Source organism: Homo sapiens, chromosome 10 (assembly GCF_000001405.40).
Source record: "Homo sapiens chromosome 10, GRCh38.p14 Primary Assembly".
Taxonomy (NCBI): domain Eukaryota; kingdom Metazoa; phylum Chordata; class Mammalia; order Primates; family Hominidae; genus Homo; species Homo sapiens.
The window spans coordinates 87153550-87172995 of NC_000010.11; the positions used below are offsets into that span (position 1 = coordinate 87153550).

The following is a 19446-nucleotide window of genomic DNA, read 5'->3' on the forward strand; positions in this document are numbered from 1 at the left end:
TATAACCACCAATAGAGTTCTAGAGTGTTGCCTTCCAGTTATTTTCTCTGTTCTCCTTAAAATGTGTGTGCATGTGTGTATATATCACACATAGAAGCTCATATTTATTGGGAGCTTAGTTTGTGAGACCCTGTTTTAGATTTTACATGCATATTTCATTACAACAAGTATATGAGGAAGGTACTGATTTTTATCCCTACTTTTCAGTTGAGGAAGCTGAAGCCCAGAGAAGTAAAGTAACTTGTCCAATGTCATACATCTAGGAAGTGGCAAAGCTATAGTTTCTCCTAGACTCCAGAATTTATACTCTTACTATATAGTTGTAACCATAAAGAACATTTTGTTTTTTTAATTTTTAATTTATTTATTTTTAAGAGACAGAGTCTTGCTATGTTGCCAAGTGCAGTGGGTACTCACGGGCACAATCCCATTGCTGATCAGCATGAGAATTTTTAAATTGTTATTTTTAATTTTTTGTTTGTTTGTTTAATAGGGACAGGGTCTCACTGCATTACCCAGGCTGATCTCCAACTCCTGGGCTCAATTGATCCTCCTGCCGCAGCCTCCCGAAGTGCTAGGATTACAGGCGTGAGCCACCGTGCCCATGGTATTTTTAACATGCCCTTGTTTCCAACCTGGACCAGTTCACCCCTCCTTAGGGAACCTGTGGTCCTCCACTCCCAGGAGGTCACTATATTGATGGCAAGCTTAGTGCAGACACCTGATCGGCTACAACTCTGAACTCCTGGGCTCAAGTGAGCCTCCTGCCTCAGTCTCCCAAGTAGCCAGGACTACAGGCACGCATGCCGCTGCACCCAGAGAGAATATTTAATATTTTTTTTTTTTTTTTTGAGACAGTCTTGCTCTGTCACCCAGGCTGGAGCGCAGTGGCACAATCTTGACTCACTGCAACCTCCGCCTCCTGGGTGCAGGTGATTCTCCTGCCTCAGCCTCTCGAGTAGCTGAGATTACAGGTGTAAGCCACCATGCCTGGCTAATTTTTGTATTTTTAGTAGAGACGGGGTTTCACCATGTTGGCCGGGCTGGTTTCGAACTCCTGTCCTCAGGTGATCCGCCCACCTTGTCCTCCCAAAATGCTAGGATTACAAGTGTGAGCCACCGTGCCTGGCCAGAATATGTTTTCACCGAACACATCTAACATTGTGTTACATGTTCTTTGTTGATTTAAAATTGACACATGGTGTATTAGAGCAGGAGGAAGTTGATTAAGCTTAATAAAATATCTAAAGAAAGAATGTGATACAGAGGAGGTATTTAGAAGAAGAAAACTTCGAAGCAATATTGATAATCCTACCAAATAGTTTACAGGAGGAATGAGAACCTTAGCTAATGTACCTTGGTGTTCCTGTAGGATTGTCAAGTACAATCTTTTTTGTTTTTTTGAGACGGAGTCTGGCTCTGGCACCCAGGCTGGAGTGCAGGGGCGCGATGTCTGCTCACTGCAAGCTCCGCCTCCCGGGTTCACGCCATTTTCCTGCCTCAGCCTCCTGAATAGCTGGGACTACAGGCGCCTGCCACCGCGCGCGGCTAATTTTTTTGTATTTTTAGTAGAGACAGGGTTTCACTGTGTTAGCCAGGATGGTCTCGATATCCTCACCTCGTGATCCGCCCGCCTCAGCCTCCCAAAGTGCTGGGATTACAGGCGTGAGCCACCGCACCCGGCCGAGTACAATCTTTTATAAAGAGGTAAACACAAGATTGTAATGAACAGGCTTAGCATAGCCACATCCCACTGGCAGTATTAGCTAATATTATTTATATGTGATTATATTATTGGAGATTCAATTCACCTAACTCCCTCTGTTCTGATTCAGTGCTTGCTGAATACCTCTTTGCTTGTGATTTGGCTTTCTAGTTGTAGAGCTGCCCACAGCATGAGAACAGGCTGAAATACTGTTTTTTTGGGCAATTAATGCCTCATTGTAAATGAAAAAAAAATTTTTTTTTCTTTAATTTGTTTCATTAGTTGATTTAGTATGAGCTTATGTTGCAGAGCTGAAATCTAGTTTTGGAGTGTTAACAAAATTAAGTTTCCCAGACTGTAAAAGAGGGCTGGATCCTGGACCATGGTCATTTTACCGAGGCAATTAATGTCAGCAGGGACCTCTCAGGGGCCTTTTCCTTTTTCCTAGGTAGGTGTAAACTCAACTCTGCAATCTCTGTATTTTTTCCTAACATCTCTATAGTTGTTAACAACGAGGTAACATTCTCTCTGGTGGCTGAAATGCAATTTACTTAACCATTTTCCTATTATAAGACATTTAGATGATTTCTATGAACATTTTTTTTAAAAATCAGATTTTTTTGTCTTTTTAAGAAAAAGAGGACCTAGTTCACTTATTTCTGAATAAGTTTCTTTTGTGTGGAACAGATGGAAATGTTGGGAAAAAAAAGAAATCTACACTTTTCTGTTGTCCTAATGAGGCAGTGAACTTAGTTGGATAGCCTGGGTAGTTCATACTACCTATTGATATATACCCCCAAACAGAAATCTTCCTTTTTTTTTTTTTTTTTGAGATGGAGTCTTGCTCTGTTGCCCAGGCTGGAGTGCAGTGGCGCGATCTCGGCTCACTGCAACCTCTGCCTCCTGGGTTCAAGTGATTCTCCTGCCTCAGCCTCCCAAGTAGCTGGGACTACAGGAGCCCGCCACCACGCCTGACTAATTTTTGTATTTTTAGTAGAGACAGGGTTTCACCATATTGGCCGGGCTGGTCTCGAACTCCTGACCTTGTGATCTGCCCACCTCGGCCTCCCAAAGTTCTGGGATTACAGGCGTGAGCCATCGCGCCCGGCCCAAACTGAAAAATTTTAAGTAACAGATGTATTCCAGACCTTGTTGAATACCAACACAGCAGACAGTTTGCTATTATAACTTCTAGCAATAGAATGAAGAGATGCCAAAAATAAGGATTACCTAAGGGAGACTACTGACTAGAATTAGAAGAAGATGGGAGGCTTAACATTGGGAAACAACAGTGTTTAAAGGACAAACAGAATAAGGACTAGGAGCTGGGGCATGTCAGTGAGAGGGTAGGAAGGAGCCAGGAGGCCAGGGCGGGCTACCCATCCCCTCCATGCACCACTAGTGATTACCATGTCACTAATCCAACATATGCTTCACAGTCCTAGCTTTCAGAATGCTCTCCTTGAAATTTCTCGTCTGTTCCTTTTTTCTGAAGAACATGCATCCTGAATGTTGGATCATGAAAAGTCTTGAATGCTGTACTAGCTCTTCCTGGCTAGGCAGTGGGGAACCACTGTTTTTTAGTAAGTCACCTGAACTCATTAATGCTCTGATATATCACTCGCCTGAACTCATTAATGCTCTGATGAATGACTCATTAGCATTGTAAGAAATGGGTTGCAGGCGGGACAAGCACCTGTTGGGAGGGAAAGGAATGTGTAATGTAAAACAGTAGTAGTGGTGGGGCATGGGCACATTTAAGCAGCAGAGGGGTAGGTGGGGGCTGGTGGCAAGGAGTGGGAAGGGAGAGGCAAGATGACTTCAGATGTTAGTTTACTTGATTAGCAGCATAGCGTCAACAAATGAGTTGGGCGCTATGAAAGGAAAAGCAGGTTTGGACATTGCTGAGTTTGGGGAGCCAATGGAATATCCAGGTGGGAATTTCCATTAGGCAGTTGTAGGTAAAAGGTTCAAAAGCTGAGGAAAGGGTCTGGAATCTAAATCTGTAAGTAATCACTTGGAATTTATACATCCTTGGTTTTCTTTCCTATTATCTCTACATTATTTCACTATTGTTAATATATGTTTATACCTCTGACACTGTATGCTGATTAGATCCTGCCTTAGAGATAGCTCCCTTCCCCTCTTTCTCTTTACAGCTCACACGTTTTGCTCTACCTACAATTGTTTCTACCTGTTGGTATGTTTAGTTCTACCTGATTCTACTCTATCCGTCTTAGATATACAGCTCTCTCTTTCCAATTGGAAAATGTTCCCTACCTCCAAAGTCTTTCACTTTTAACTTATGTGGAAGATAATTATAGTGCTATTTAGGGAAAAATAATCAAGTGTGTTAAGAATGCCTTATATTCAGATATATTTATAGTAGAAGGGACCAGTGCATACTGAATATTATTACTCTCCTAGGCACTACGGCTTTGGAACCACTACTTTGCCTTCTGGTCCTAAAAAAAATTATTTTTAATGTATCAGAAATATACATGATAACATTTTCCTTATGTAAATAAAAACTATTAAGCCTTTTTTATATAGAGCAGTGGACTTCCATACTGCTATCATTTGAATATAAAGAAGCAATTTTGTTAATTTACCTAGATTTAGATTTTAGATTTGCTGTTTTCTTATTTCGTGCCTTTAGGCAGGTTATTTAACCTATTTGATCTCTACTTGCTTGGTATATGGGAGGCATGCATAGTATTTTGTTGTGACTAGTAGGTTAACCACATTGTGAAGGAATTTATGGCATGATCAGAACGTTTTTTCTCTCTCTAGATGTTGTTATTCATGAGGACCAATGGATTGGCGAGACAGTACTACAATCAACATTTAGCAGTCAGTTATTAAATCTTGGGAGTTATTCATCTATTCAGCCTGAAGAATGTAAGGCACATTTTAAATGAAGTAATGTAGTAGTGTTTAAAGTATAAAAACATACTAGGAAAGATTAGGGTTAAAATGGTTCTTTTACAAAATGTTTTCTAAACAGTTGGAGAGTATTGGTTTCTTTTCATTAGTAAGAATGAAAATAGAATTTTAAGAAATGAACTTGTACATTGTAAATCACATTTATTTTAAGAAGTATTGGGTCTCATGTTTCGTTTTCTTAGGCCATCAGTATAGTGGTGGTTCTTCACCTTTTAGGGAGTCAGAGACCTCTTTGAGAATCTATAGACCATTTCTCCAGAAAACTGGACTTATGTAGATAGGCACAAAATTTTGCTTATAATTCTAAAGCATTCCACGGACCTCTGAAGTTCTTCTGTGGAACTTCTGAGCCTCTGATTAAGAATCCTTGAGGTAATAAAAATGTATTGGTCTCGTATTCAGACAGCTGTGGTTTGAATCCTTATTCTCCTGTCTACCACTGCTAAGAAAAGCTATCTTTCTTCTTTAATGTCCAGTTTTCTCTTCTTTAAAAGAAGCTGTTTAATGAGGAAACTAGCAGCTATCTCCTCCTCTAGGAAATAAAATAACATAAAAAAAAGAAAGAAAACAAAGTAAGGGAAACAGTATAAACTTGTGGTTATGGTCACTGGACTCAGATAGACCAGGATTTGAATACTGGCCCTCTTACTTCCAGTCTTTGTCTTTAGGCAATGTATTTCACTTCACTATACTTTTGTCTCCTTTTCTGTGAAATGGAGATAAAAATACATATATACCTTATAGGGTTGTTATGAAGATTAAGTGAGAAAATGAATATAAGATGTTGAACCTGCACATAATGTAGTAGTAACATAGTAATATTAGAGGGAGAAATAATAAGCTAGCAAAATATATTTGATAAAATGCTGAAATATCATACAAGAAAATAGCTAGAGAAATATACTGATTATACAAGAAGATAACTGGAATAATAGGAAAGTTATAGGATATATATATGGAAGATAGAGCATGGAATTCCAATCTTTGAATTCTTAAAGAAAGGCAGAGCAAGTAGAAGGGAAGAGCAACAATTAGAATAACAAGAACTGTGTTTGGAATGGGCAAGGTTTCATTATATACTAGGGTGGCCCATCAGCAGAAAACCAACTCTGACATATTTCATAGACAACTAAAATAGAGTTCTTCATCTATCCAATATATATTTATTATGTGTTGACATTGTTTCAGGCACTGTGTTTACTGTACACTGGGGGTACAATGGTGCCTGTCCTCCTGGAGCTTATGTTCTCATGTGGAAGACAGACCAAAAAAAATGAATGAAACAGACATATAAGTAAAATATGTGCAGGTGATAATGAGTGCTATGAAGGAAACTAACAAAGGGTTAAGATACAGAATGCCGTGGTTCTAGTTGAGAAGGATTGATCATGGAGTAGAATCAGGGTTAGGAAGTTGTTACAATAGCTGCAGTTGAGAGATAATGGGAGGCCAGTGGAGCTAAAGAGCTGAGATATATTTGTAAATAGAGTTAATAGGATTTTCTGATGATGTGGGTCTGGGGATCAGGGAAGAGGGACAATCTACTGCTACTGAATTACTGGTTTAAGTAACTAGGTAGCCTTTATTGGGAAAGACTGAGAGGGAACTGGTTTGTGGGGAAAAGGACTATGTTTCAAGGCATGTTAAGTTTTAGATATCTTTGAGATATTCAAGTGGAAATGTCATATAAGAACTGGAAACAAAGTTCAGGACTCAGAAGACAGGTTTAAAATTAAGAGGCAAATTTTAGAGTTATTAGCATACAGATAATATTTCAAATTTAAAAGTTTTTTAAATAATAAATATCTGTATAATTATAGAATCACAGGGGATTGCAAAAATAATACATAAAGTCCCATGAACTCTTCTTCTAGCTTCTCCCAATGGTGATATCTTATATAACTTTAGTACAATATCAACAACAGGAAATCAACGTTTGTATAATACTGTTAACTAGTAATATACTAGGATACTTTCCCTTTCAGTATCAATAAATATAGTATCAGCCTGGCACAGTGGCTTATGCCTGTAATCCCAGCACTTTGGGTGGCTGAGGCAGGAGGATTACTTGGGCCCAGGAGCTCGACACCAGCCTGGATGATATGGTGAAACCTCATCTCTACTAAAAATACGGAAAAATTAGCCAGGTGTAGTGGTGCACACCTGTAGTTACAGCTACTAGGGAGGCTTAAGTGGGAAAGAAAGTTGAGGCTGCAGTGAGCCATGATTGTACCACAGCACTTCAGCCTGGGTGACCGGAGTCAGACCTTGTCTCAAAAAAATTTTTTTTCTTAAATAAATATAGCATCAATACAGCATTATAATATGATTAATACTATATCAATAAAATAGATACTTAGTCCTAATGCCAATGTCTTATTTAATAGAAAAGCACTCGAGGCATTGTCATTAAAACCAGGAAAAAGATAAGGATGTCCACTATCTCTGCAACTATTCATCTTATACTAGAATTATCAGCTAATGCACTTAGACAAGAAGAGGCATCTGGTCTGGTGCGGTGGCTCACGCCTGTAATCCCAGCACTTTGGGAGGCCAAGGTGGGCGGATCACTTGAGGCCAGGAGTTTGGGACCAGCCTGGCCAACATAGCAAAACCCTGTCTGTACTAAAAAGATGAAAAATTAGCCAGGTGTGGTGGTGCATGCCTGTGGTCCCAGCTACTCAGGAGGCTGAGGCATGAGAATTGCCTGAACCTGGGAGGTGGAGGTTGCAGTGAGCACCACTACACTGCACTGCAGCCTGAGCGACAGAGTGAGATTCGGTCTCCAAAAAAAAAAAAAGAAAGAAGAGGCATTTGAATGGATAAAGAAGAATGAAAATTATTTCTATTTACAAATGCTCTGATAACATACCTGAAAACTCCAGGGAATCAAAGTTAAAACAAATTTAAATAATAAGATAATTCAGTGATATAACAGAATGCAAAATTAGTGTTAAAAAATATCATTAGGCTGAGTGCAGTGGTTTGCGTCTGTAATTCTAGCCCTTTGGGAGATGAAAGTGGGTGGACAGCTTGAGCCCAGGAATTCAAGACCAGCCTGGGCTACAAAAAAGAAAAAGAAAAAGAAAAAAAAGCTGGGTGTGGTGGCACCCACCTGTGGTCCCAGCTGTTTGGGAGGCTGAGGTAAAAGGATTGCTTGAGCCCAGGCTGGGGGATGAGGTTGCAGTGAGCTGTGATTGCACCACTGTACTCCAGCCTGGGCAACAGAGCAAGGCCCTGTCTCAAAAAAAAATAATAATAGTAATTAGACTTAATATACACAAATAATAAACAGAGGGCATAATGATAGTGAAAAACTCATTTACTATAGTAATAAAGAAGATAGTTCAAAATACAGTTAACAAGAAATATGCAAAGCCTATATGAGGAAAAAATTTAAACACTCCAGAAAGAAATGAAGACATGAAGAAATGGAAAGACATTCCCTGTTCTTGGATAGGATGACTCAACATTATAATGATGTCAGTTCTTCCTAAGTTAATATGTAAATTCAATGTAGTTCCAATGAAAATATATATGTTATGGCATATAAAAGTTGATACTAAAGCTCATAGGGGAAAACAGACATGCAAGAATAGCTAGGAAAAGACTGACAAAGGAAAACTACAGAGGAGGGGAACTAGCTTTACCAGATGTTAAAACATACTATAAAGCCTCTGTAATTAAAACAGTGAAGTACTGATGCATGAATAGACAAGTAGACCAGTGGAACAGAGTAAGAAGATTAGAATTAGACCCACCTACATATAGCAATTTAATATATGACAAAGATAGTATCTGGAATCAGTGAGATAAAAGCTAACTTCTTAATAAATGGTGCTGAGACAACTGGGTAGCCATTTGGAAAAAAGGGAAAATTGGACACATATCTCACAACAAACAGTAATAAACACCATATGGATTAATAGTCTAAATGTAAAAAATAAAATCATGCAACAACAAGAAAGAAACCTGAATGAATCCTCTGTAATCTTGGTGTAGGGAAAGGCTTTTTCTTAATATTACTCAGAATCCAGGGGCAGTAGAAGATAAACTGATACATTTTACTATAGAAAAATAAATTTTGCATAACCAAAACACTATAAACAAAGTCAAAAGACAACTGACAAACTTGGAGAAAATATTTGTAACATACAACAAAAGGCTAATATCCCTAATATATAAAGAACTTTTAAACCCTGAGTGACAAAGGCTGGGTGTGGTTGTTCACACTGGTAATCATAGCATTTTGGAAAGCTGAGGTGGGAGAATCACTTGAGCTCAGGAGTTTGAGTCCAGCCTGGGCAACATAGTGAGACCCTGTCTCTACAAAAAGTCAAAAAATCAGCCCGGTGTGGTGGTGCATGCCTATGGTCCCAGCTACGTTGGAGGCTGAGGCAGGAGGATTGTTTGAGCCCAGGAGGTCGAGGCTGCAGTGAGCTGTATTCATGCCACTGCACTCTAGCCTGGCAAAAGGGAAAATGTGAAAAAGAGATGAACAGTCAGTTTTCAAAAAAAGATATAAAAATGGCTATCAAATATAACTTATTAGAGAAATTCAAATTAAAACTACATGGAGATACCATTTCTCACCTATCAGATTGGCAAAATTAAAAAAAAGCACATTCTGTTGGCGCAACTGTGAGGTAATGTGCCCTCTTAATACATTGGTGGTAGGAATGCAAATTGCTACAACCCTTGTGAAGGGATATTTGGCAATATCTAACAAAATTACATATGTACTTAGCTTTCAACCTAGCAATCCCACTTCTAGGAATCTACCCTGAAGCTACACCTCCAACAATATGAAAATACATATCACAAGGTTATTCATTGCAGTATTGTTTATAATTGCAAAATATATAGGAGAATGATTCACTAAGTTATGCTACATTCACATAGTGGAACACTATGTACTATGCAGCTGTACAAAAAGAATGAAAAAGATCTCTATGAACTGATATGGAGTGATTCCCAGGACATACTGTTATGTGAAAACATAAACCCCCCAAAACTGTATGTAGTATGCTGTCCTTCCTGTACGAAGGAATGGAGGTATAAGAAAATACCTCGGTTTATTTGTGGAAAGAAAATGCAGGAAGGATAAACCAGAAACTAAAGAGATTGGTCACCTACAGGGGGCACATAGGAGAGGGGTGGAAGAAAGTGGGGAATGGGAACAGGATAGCAGGGGTCAGGAGGAAGTGACACTAACAAATGAATGTAATATTGTTACAAGTGAACCTAATATTGTTACAAATGAATAAAATAACTACACAGAAGCGGGTGGGGAAGAAAAGAACAAACCTAAGTAGCTGTGGAAAAGAGTATATTGACTGGATTCTATAAGGCTAATGACAGAAAGGACTGTACATAAATGCTGCAATCTAGTTAGAAATATGTTTCTCAAAGGGGAATGGCTTAGCAATAACCTTATGTACATACTAGAATGAACAAATGAGTACATAGATTGTAGATAAGGAAAGCTGGATTTCTCACTGTTGGAGAAAGAAATTATAAACAAGGGAAGGTTAAAACGAACCAGAGGTATTGTTATAAACTGAGGATTTTTAATATAGATAAATGGATACAGAAATATAGGCATGTGTATATGGGTGGGATAGTACACATACATAAACATCTCCTAGTTCTGTCCATTGAGCGAGCACAGCACAGATGCAGTTACTCCCCAGTAATAATGAGCATACCTGGTGCCCAGATCTTCATCTGTAAACATTTTCTTTTCTTTTCTTTTCTTTTCTTTTTTTTTTTTTTGAGATGGACTCTTGTTCTGTCACCCAGGCTGGAGTGCAGTGGCGTGATCTTAGCTCACTGCAACCTCTGCCTCCTGGGTTCGAGCAATTCTCCTGCTTCAGCCTCCCAAGTAGCTGGGACTACAGGTACGTGCCACCACGCCCAGATAATTTTTGTATTTTTAGTAGAGATGGGGTTTCACCATGTTGGCCAGGCTGGTCTTGAACTCCTAACCTCAGGTGATCTGCCCACTTTGGCCTCCCAAAGTGCTGAGATTGCAGGTGTGAGCCACTGTGCCTGGCCTCTCTTTTTTTTTGAGACAGGGTCTGGCTCTGTTGCCCAGTCTAGAGTACAGTGGTGTGATCTCGGCTTACTCCAACTTCTGCCTCCTGGGCTCAAGCCAGCCTCCCACTTCAGCCTTCCAAGTAGCCGGTACCATAGCTGTGCACTACCACGCCTGGCTAATTTTTGTATTTCTTGTAGAGACTGGATTTCACCATGTTGCTCTGGCTGGTCTCGGACTCCTGGGCTTCAGCAGTCCACCCATCTTGGCCTCCCAAAATGCTGGGATTACAGGTGTGAGCCATTGTGCCTGGCCAACATAGTTCTCTAATGAAAGGAAACAGCTCTGCTAAAAGTGGTTGATTACAGGACTGGGTCAGGGCAAATTCAGGATAAGCCTGGAAGTCTAGTGGTGCCAGACAAGACATGTTGAAATAATGCAAGAGCCAACCTGAAGGAACACCTACTGGCTAAAGCTGAAGCAATTTGAGTAAGAAAATAATGATAGTATTGGATTAGAACCCATAGATTAAAATCTTTACAAATCCTTACTGACATAAAGATATATGTATTTCATTAACTAACCAGAGGGGAAGAGAGAGCTCTTCCTTCCAATGGAATTCCAATTAATAAATCTGAGAGAAAAGAAAAAAAAATAGAGAATTACTGGCCATGCTCAGTGGTTCATGCCTATAATCCCAGCACTTTGGGAGGCTGAGGCAGGTGGATGGCTTGAGCCCAGGAGTTCGAGACCAGCCTGGGCAACATGGCAAAACCCCGTCTCTACAAAAAATAGAAAAATTAACCAGGTTTGGAGGTGTGTCCCTATAGTCCCAGCTATTCGGGAGGCTGAGGTGGGAGGATAGATTGATCCCAGGAGGTTGAGGCTGCAGTGAGCTGTGATCATGCCACTGCACTTCAGCCCGGGCAACAGAGTGAGACTCTGTCTCAAGGAAAAAAAAAAAAATACAAAACACAAAAATAGAGAATTACCATCAGGCAGAGATCACAATAATAAATACTGCACTGACACAAATGCACTGATAGATGCTAAAATTAGTAGGTGAAAGTTTGAGGAGAGAGAGCATTGCATAGTCTCAAAGTATCTCCCCAAGATACCAGCATACTAGAGGGAAAATAATAAATTTATAAGAAAACTCTTCAGACACCAAGTTAACTGAGTGATTGGGATAAATATCACCAGTAATAAGATGTATGGTATCATAAATGCTTTGATATTATCCATTGAGAAGGATCCACCATATTTTTTGTGGAATTGCCAAAAATGCATAACTTCATTCCAATCATAAAACACTGGAGAAACCCAAAGGGAAGGACGTTCTACTAAATAATTGATCAGGATTCTTCATAAGTGTCAAGGTAATGAAAAAGAAAAGACTGAGAAACTCTTATAGACTAGAGGAGACCAAAGAGAAATAACAACTAAATATGAGGTGGGATCTTGGATGAAATCCTACATAGAAAAAGGATATTAATAGGAGAATTGATAAAATTTAAATAACATCTACATTTTATTTAACAATATTTAATTAACATTAGTTTCCTGTTTAAGATAATTTATAATATGTGAGATGCCCACATTAGTCGACATAGTGAGGAATATAAGGTAACTCTGTACTATTTTTGCAACTTTTTTGTAAGTCTTACGTTAGTTCAAAACAGAGTTTTTAAAAAAGCTGTATACGATCATCTCAATAGGTACAAAGAAAGCTTTTGATAAAATTCAACACTTGTTCATTAGGAATAGAATAAAATTTTCCTTAACTTCATAAAGAGTGTCTTTAGAAAACCCAGAACAATTATCATCCTAATTGGAAAAATATTAGAAGCATTCCTTTTAAAATTCAGGAATATGACTAGGATACTACTATTACTACTTTTCTTCAACACCGTATTAGAGTTATTAACCAGTGCAATAAACATGGAAAAATAGATATGTAAAGATTGGAAAGGTAGAAATAAAACTGCCATTATTATAGATGGTTTACATACCTTTTCCCTCTGAAAACTACAAACAAATTATTAGAAATAATGTGAAAATTTAGCAAAGGAGCTGGATATAAGATTAACATACAAAAGTCAATCACATTTCTAGAGTGACTAACAATAACAAAGGAAGCTGCCATTGACAATAATATTATTTTGTACTAATAGTAATAAATGTAACAAAGTATGTGCAAGACCTAAAAAAGGAAAAATTTTTAAATGAAGAAAAACTAACAAAGAATGAAATAAACATATACTTTATTCATTGATTGGAAGATTTAACATTGTGAAGATTTCAGTTCTTTTCAAGTTGATTTGTAAATTCAGTGCATGTTCAATAAAAATCCTCGTAAGATTTCAAGGGCTCAGTGGCTCATGCCTGTAATGCCAGCACTTTGGGAGGCCAAGGTAGGAGGATCTCTTGAGGCAAAGAGTTCAAGACCAATAAGATTTTCATGTAATTTGATAAGATTATATGATATTTATGTAGAAGAGTAAGTGGTTGAAAACAGCAGGGCATTTTAAGAAGAAAAGCAGGGAAGAATAATTTGCCCTATCAGCTATCAAGACTTAGTATGAACCTATAGTAACTGAGATGGTGTGGTTTTGCCCAGTTGAAGTCAGTTAAATTTTAATTTTGAGATTTCTGTAAAAGATACAAGTTTAGTCTTTTATTATGTATATTTGAAGGTGTTACATTTTGGAAAGTGTGTGTGTGTGTGTGTGTGTGTGTGTGTGTATAAATGATAGCTAAATGGCTTCTAAGTAAAATTCAGCATATCTTGTATATGTTGATAGAATAGAAGGGGAAGGAATGTTTTGAAATAATGAAAATAACATGGTATGCAAATGCTTTGCAAGAGATTTGGGAAATGTAGATATCTCTGGTTTTAAGGATGATCTAGATTCAAGTAATAGTTCAGTAATTTCATAAAACTCTTATGACAAAATTCTGGATGGAGAATATTCTATGAATCCCCTAGAGAGTTTCAGGTTTTTGTAGAATTATGTGAAAAATCTTGAACTAATTAGATAATCTTTAGAAGTTACTTCACAATCTTTGTTTTTACACATACACAGGAATTTATGGTGCTTTATTTTTTACAGGTTAGTAGCTAAATAAAGTATATTCTAAAGTTTTTTATTGATGTAGGGAAATGGCTACCAGTGGACATTTTGAGAATATTGCAGTTGTTTTTCTTCTGAAAGAGTAAACCAATTTGGTTACTCATTTTACCAATTTGGTTTTGATTTTGCAAGTGGTTACAACTCATGAGAGGATTCTTATTTCTGATCAATATATTGTGTTTTTGGAAAGGACTTCTGGGAAATAATTATGATGAAGCCCTCGAGCAATTGCAACAAAACCAAAAATTGAAAAGTGGGACCTAATAATACTTTTTTAAAATTTATTTTTTAGAGACAGGATCTCACTCTGTTACCCAGGCTGGAGTGCAGTGGCCTGATCATGGCTCACTGCAGCCTCAGTCTCCCAGGCTCAAGAGATTCTTCTACCTCAGCCTCCTGAGTAGCTGGGACTACAGGTGCATGCCCCCATGCCCAGCTAATTTTTGTATTTTTTGTAGAGACCAGGTTTTGTCATGTTGCCCAAGCTGGCCTTGAATTCCTGAGCTCCAGTGATCCTCTTGTCTTAGCCTCCCAAAGTGCTGGAATTACATGTGTGAGCCACCACTCCCAGCCCCAGAACAACTATTATTAAAAAGTCAAAAAACGACAGATGTTGGTAGGCTGTGTAGAAAAGGAAATGCTCATACACTGTTGGTGCGAATGTAAATTAGTTCAGCCGCTGTTGAAAACAGTTTGGGGTTTTCTCAAAGAAGTTAAAACTGAACTATGATTTGACCCAGCAATCCCATTACTAGGTATATATCCAAAAGAAAACAAATTGTTCTACCAAAAAGACATAAGCACTTGAATATTCATTGTAGCACTATTCACAGTAGCAAAGTCATGCAATCAACCTAGGTGGCCATCAGTGGAGGATTGAATAAAGAAAATGTGGTACATATACACCATGGAATTCTACGCAGCCATAAAAAGGAATGAAATCAGGATGGTGCAGTGGCTCATGCCTGTAATTCCCACACTTTGACAGGCTGAGGCAGGCAGATTGCTTGAGTCCAGGAGTTTGAGACCAGCCTGAGCAAGGTGGCAAAACCCTGTCTCTACAAAAAATACAAAAAAATTAGCTAGGTGTGGTGGTGCACACCTGTGGCCCCAGCTATTTGGGAGGCTGAAGTGGGAGGATCACCTGAGCCCAGGAGGTGGAGTTTACAGTGAGCTGAGATTGTGCCACTGCATTCCAGCCTGGGCAATAGAGTGACACCTTGTCTCAAAAAAAATAAATAAATAAATAAATAAATTGCAGCAACACAGATGCAGTTGGAGGCAATTATCCTAAGTGAATTGAGGGAGGAACAGGAAACCAAATAACATGTATTCTCACTTATAAGTGGGAGCTAAACACTGGCTACTCATGGACATAGAGGTGGCAACAATACACACTGGGGACTACTAGAGGGAGAGGGTTGAAAAACTACCTGTTGGGTACTGTGCTCAGTACCTGGGTGACAGGATCACTTGTACCCCAAAGTTCAGTATCACGCAGTATTCCCAGGTAACAGACCTGCACATGTACACCCGAATCTAAAGTAAAAGTTGAAAAGAAAAGACTTCTGTTCTTTCATCTTTATAGTGAGGTGTTACATGTTTTACAAACCTAGTTCTGATAATGTGACAGGAATATAAATTTATCTTGAATATTATTAAATATATAAGTCAAAGATCAACACAATGTTTCCATGAGGTAGACTTTTTTTGGAATCTAAATAACCATGTGTTTCCATGTAAATTTTTATGAATCAGGGACAAATATATAATTTGATGTTAGAGATGTTTTTGTTCCCCAAAAGCTCTATCTTGTTCATGAAAAACGAAGCCCAGAGAAGTTATGTACAAGTTCACAGAGCTTATTATTGACAAAACCAGAATTTGAATACAACTCTTCTGATTCCAGATTTGCTGGAAATACTGTGAAAGAAGAACTCAGTCTGGTAGTATTACGTGTGGTTTTAATTTTTTCTTTGTAACTTTAGTTTGAATTTTATGTGTGTGTGAGCATCTGCATTTACTTTTAAAAACTTTTATTGTAAAAGCCTTCAAACATATACAAAAGTAGAGAATACAAAGCATAATGAACTTAAGTACCTATTAGCCAGCTTATTAAAACATGGTCAGTCTTGTTTCACCTGTTACATCCCTTTTCTTTTACTGTCTAAAGGAAGGAAAGAAGAAACACAAATCAGTTTATGGAGTCTGCTTTCTAAAAAGTACTTAAGTGTTTATTGCCAATATCTTATTTTGGTCAGCAATCAATCACGTACTCAAGCATACTTGTCTTACCTTCAGAGAAATTAAAATTTAATCAGCAAAACTCATCAGCCTGTACATTTAAAATATATGCATGTTATTGTACAGAAACTATACCTTAATAAAAAGTGAGAAAAAAAATGAGACAGGAAAGAGAAAAACATTTAAAGGACATAGTAACTGAAGAATTAAATAACCAATCCAACACTTGAAAAATATTACAATGTAGCACGTGCTCAAAAGCTCTCTGAGCTCAGGGAACAAAGCAGCACTGTGAATCTATAGTGGTAATCATTCTATGTGGTATTGGGTAGGACAAGACAGCCTTGCAGCTGGAAATTGGTGAGGACGGAGGCCTCGCTGTGGAAAGAGTAAGGCACACTCAGGGAGAGAACCAGTGAGGTGGCTCTGAGCCTGTTTCAGAAGGGGCTTGAGGAAGAACGGCAGAGGATAGGATAGTTGGGAAAGCAGGATCAAATCAGACTCCAGGGACTGGGGAACCAATTGGCTGTTACAGGGTGGTGGAGTCAAAAAAGAACAGAAATTTTCTGTTTGGTTAATTGATAGAAAATGATATTATTAACAAAGTAAAGAAGTATGGGAACAGCACAAGTTTTTTGGGGATAGTAAATAATTCCATTTCCATTGATTAAAAATATCAAGTTTGTTTTTACATCTAAACTGATTCAAGACTTAGCTATTGTACATGTTTTAGAGAAAGCAAAACTATATTTTATATCTAATCATACTTTACAACATAAAATACAGTTCTAAAAAATATTATTTGTGAAGAAAAATATAATGTTGCCATCTTTTGTCTGTCTGTATGTTTTTTTTCCCTTAGATTCCAGTGTAGTTAGTGAAGTTGTACTTCAAGACTTACTGGCATATGTGTCCTCAAAACATTCCTACCTCAGAGATCTTCCTCCGAGGCAGCCTCAGAGGGTGAACAGTATAGACTTTGTAGAATTGGAGCACCTTCAACCTGATGTATTAGTCCACGCAGTACTAAGAGTTGTTGATTTCACTATACTGACAGGTAAATATTTTGACTGCCTCCTTAATTTTAGATTATGAAAAAATTAAGATACAAGACCATCTTAGTGTACCATTTGGTTATCACTATATATGTATCATCAGCTATTAAAGTATGGTATCACGTGTGATAGAGTAATGCCAACTAAGGTACTCATTTTCCTTTTCCAGAGGCAGTATACAGTTATAGAGGACAGAAGCAGAAAAAAGTTATGTTAACAGTGGAACAGGCCCAAGATCAACATTATGCGCTTGTATTATGGGGTCCTGGAGCAGCCTGGTACCCTCAACTTCAAAGGAAAAAAGGTAAATACACCAAAAAGCATTTAACCTATTTATATTTCGGTAAATGATTAATGTTTATGAGCCCAAGATGGAGAAAATCTTAAGAGACGAGACAGCATTTGAAATACAAGTGATCATGATTGAATATTCTTCTGCAAATTTCTTCTGTTAAAATTTTGTACCTCTTGTAGCAATTCATTTATCTAATAAGTCTTCATTAATTAATGGTGGTGAAATAAAGTCTTAAATTTATTCCCAGGTATACTACTTTACCCTTTTAGTGAAGATCTTACCTCCTTCAAATAATGTTCTTTAAACATTTAATTCTGGAGAAGCTTCTACAATTTTTTTTCAGCCAGAGTACTCTGATAAATGCTATGGTTATAAGGCAGATGTCAAGGGAGTTACCTTAACTCTTTCAAGTCACAATTAATGTTCAATAAATTACTGTTTCATATTTTTATTATAGTTGTTTTAAAAGCATGCACTGTTAGCCATCCCTAGAATGTTCAGTGTTAAAATATGACCCATGATTACATTTTTCTTTAAAGCATAAATTATTTCTGGTATATTGAATTAAATGGAATTGATGTTTCATTAAAATAGTATAGTGTCTTCCCTTTGCTATTGTGAGATCCTTTAGTTGTAACAAAGACAGTTTCATTTGTGGCTTATGAGTTATTTTTCCCTGCTAAATTAATTTAGAGATTGATTCAGTATATTATTATTTTTTACCTGAAAGAGTTAATGTCTCTCCAAACTTCTGCCTTCCAAATAGTTATTTGTAGATAGGAGCTATCACATTGTCTCTCTTAATCATTAATAGCTATGACTAGGATTTGAGATAAGTCTAACTTTGGACTTTTATGTTAAGATCAAACAGGGACAGATGTTTGTTTGGTTGAGCAAGCTGACAAACATGTATCAGTGATAGACTAACTATGATCATTGACCACCATAGCCTGGCTGAGAACATGAGTCTAGTGCATGCTACACAAGAATGTAGGTCACAGGTATAGTGGAGCCGTAACAAAGCAGATTGCTCCATGTTTAATGTGAATATTCTTTTAAAATTAATAGTTTTTTGGTTAATAGAAGAGAAATTACAGTTGTCTCTAGGTGATTCTATGGTGTTTAGGTTAGTATTGAAAACATATGAATCCAGGAATTAAGATGTTGTTGTTCTTTGTACATTCATTCATCCAGCCCCCCTTATTTATAACCATCATTTTAAAGTTTTAACATCTACTTCAATACCTCACATCAGTCTTTTTAAGATAAAAATCCCAATTTTGAAGGATTACTTAAGTAATTCTATTTTCCTGATTTTACTTTTCTTTTCAAGAGACCAACCCCATTTCCAAATTCCCAGCAAAGAGAATCTGATTGCCCAGAGTAAATTTGATTCAAAAAACTGTGATCAGGAAGACAAGGTCACACAATACAAATATGAGAGCTTGAGCTTATTTCAGTGGATGGGAAAACAGTTAAGGGAGTCATTTGTGATCTGGGTGAATACATAAAGATATTCACTACCAAAAATGTGTATGTTCATTAGCTTAGAAAGATATATGTAATGTATTATTTAGTTTAAAAAGTAGATTATAGGCCAGGTGTGGTGGCTCACTCCTGTTAACCCAGTACCTTGGGAGGCTGAGGTGGGTGGATTGCTTGAGCCCAGGAGTTCAAGTTCTCATCTTAAAAAAAATAAAAAATAAAAAAAAATTGGATTGTAAAACTTCACGTATAGAAAATATGTTATCATATAATAAATATTTTTATGTTTATATAAGTTAATACATAAAAATTTTCAAGAAAACCCTTTATATATAATAGTATCTCATTTTAATAAAAATGTATCTATAAGTACATATGTGCATTTGAAAACCTGGAAATATGCATGTATAGCAAAATGCTAGCAGTGGTTATTTCTGTATGGTAGTATTATATGTGCTTTAATTTTTTCTTTATACCTTTAGTTTGAATTTCATATGTGTGTGAGCATCTGCATTTACTTTTAAAAACTTCTATTATAAAAGCCT

General features: G+C 37.4%; 1 protein-coding gene, 1 long non-coding RNA gene and 1 pseudogene across 36 annotated transcripts in view; 1 reads left to right on the plus strand and 2 right to left on the minus strand.

The window, feature by feature from the left end:
• The window catches only part of SHLD2 (shieldin complex subunit 2), a 96993-nt gene that overhangs the window by 59077 nt on the left and 18470 nt on the right, over positions 1–19446 (plus strand). For 22 of the 34 annotated variants that reach the window (NR_165106.1, NR_165108.1, NR_165105.1 and 19 more), the window contains 3 exons: positions 4499–4606; positions 16929–17123; positions 17291–17425. Coding sequence is in view for 31 of the 34 variants with exons in the window: in XM_047425372.1 (XP_047281328.1) it covers positions 4499–4606; positions 16929–17123; positions 17291–17425 (438 nt within the window). In the remaining 3 variants the exon portion in view is untranslated. Of the gene's footprint in view, positions 1–3144; positions 3289–4498; positions 4607–16928; positions 17124–17290; positions 17426–19446 lie in introns of all 34 variants that reach the window. The other 12 variants (XM_047425370.1, XM_047425371.1, XM_047425374.1 and 9 more) reach the window with 2 other exon arrangements.
• RN7SL733P (RNA, 7SL, cytoplasmic 733, pseudogene) lies at positions 492–820 on the minus strand (annotated as a pseudogene).
• On the minus strand, positions 4631–19123 carry LOC124902475 (uncharacterized). 2 transcript variants are annotated; one of them, XR_007062222.1, is made up of 3 exons: positions 18140–19123; positions 15923–15989; positions 4631–15361 (listed from the first exon to the last, which is right to left on the minus strand). It is a non-coding gene; the product is annotated as an uncharacterized LOC124902475 (long non-coding RNA). The 2 variants fall into 2 exon arrangements; XR_007062223.1 differs by lacking the exon at positions 18140–19123 and adding an exon at positions 17698–17739 and having other exon boundaries at positions 15216–15361.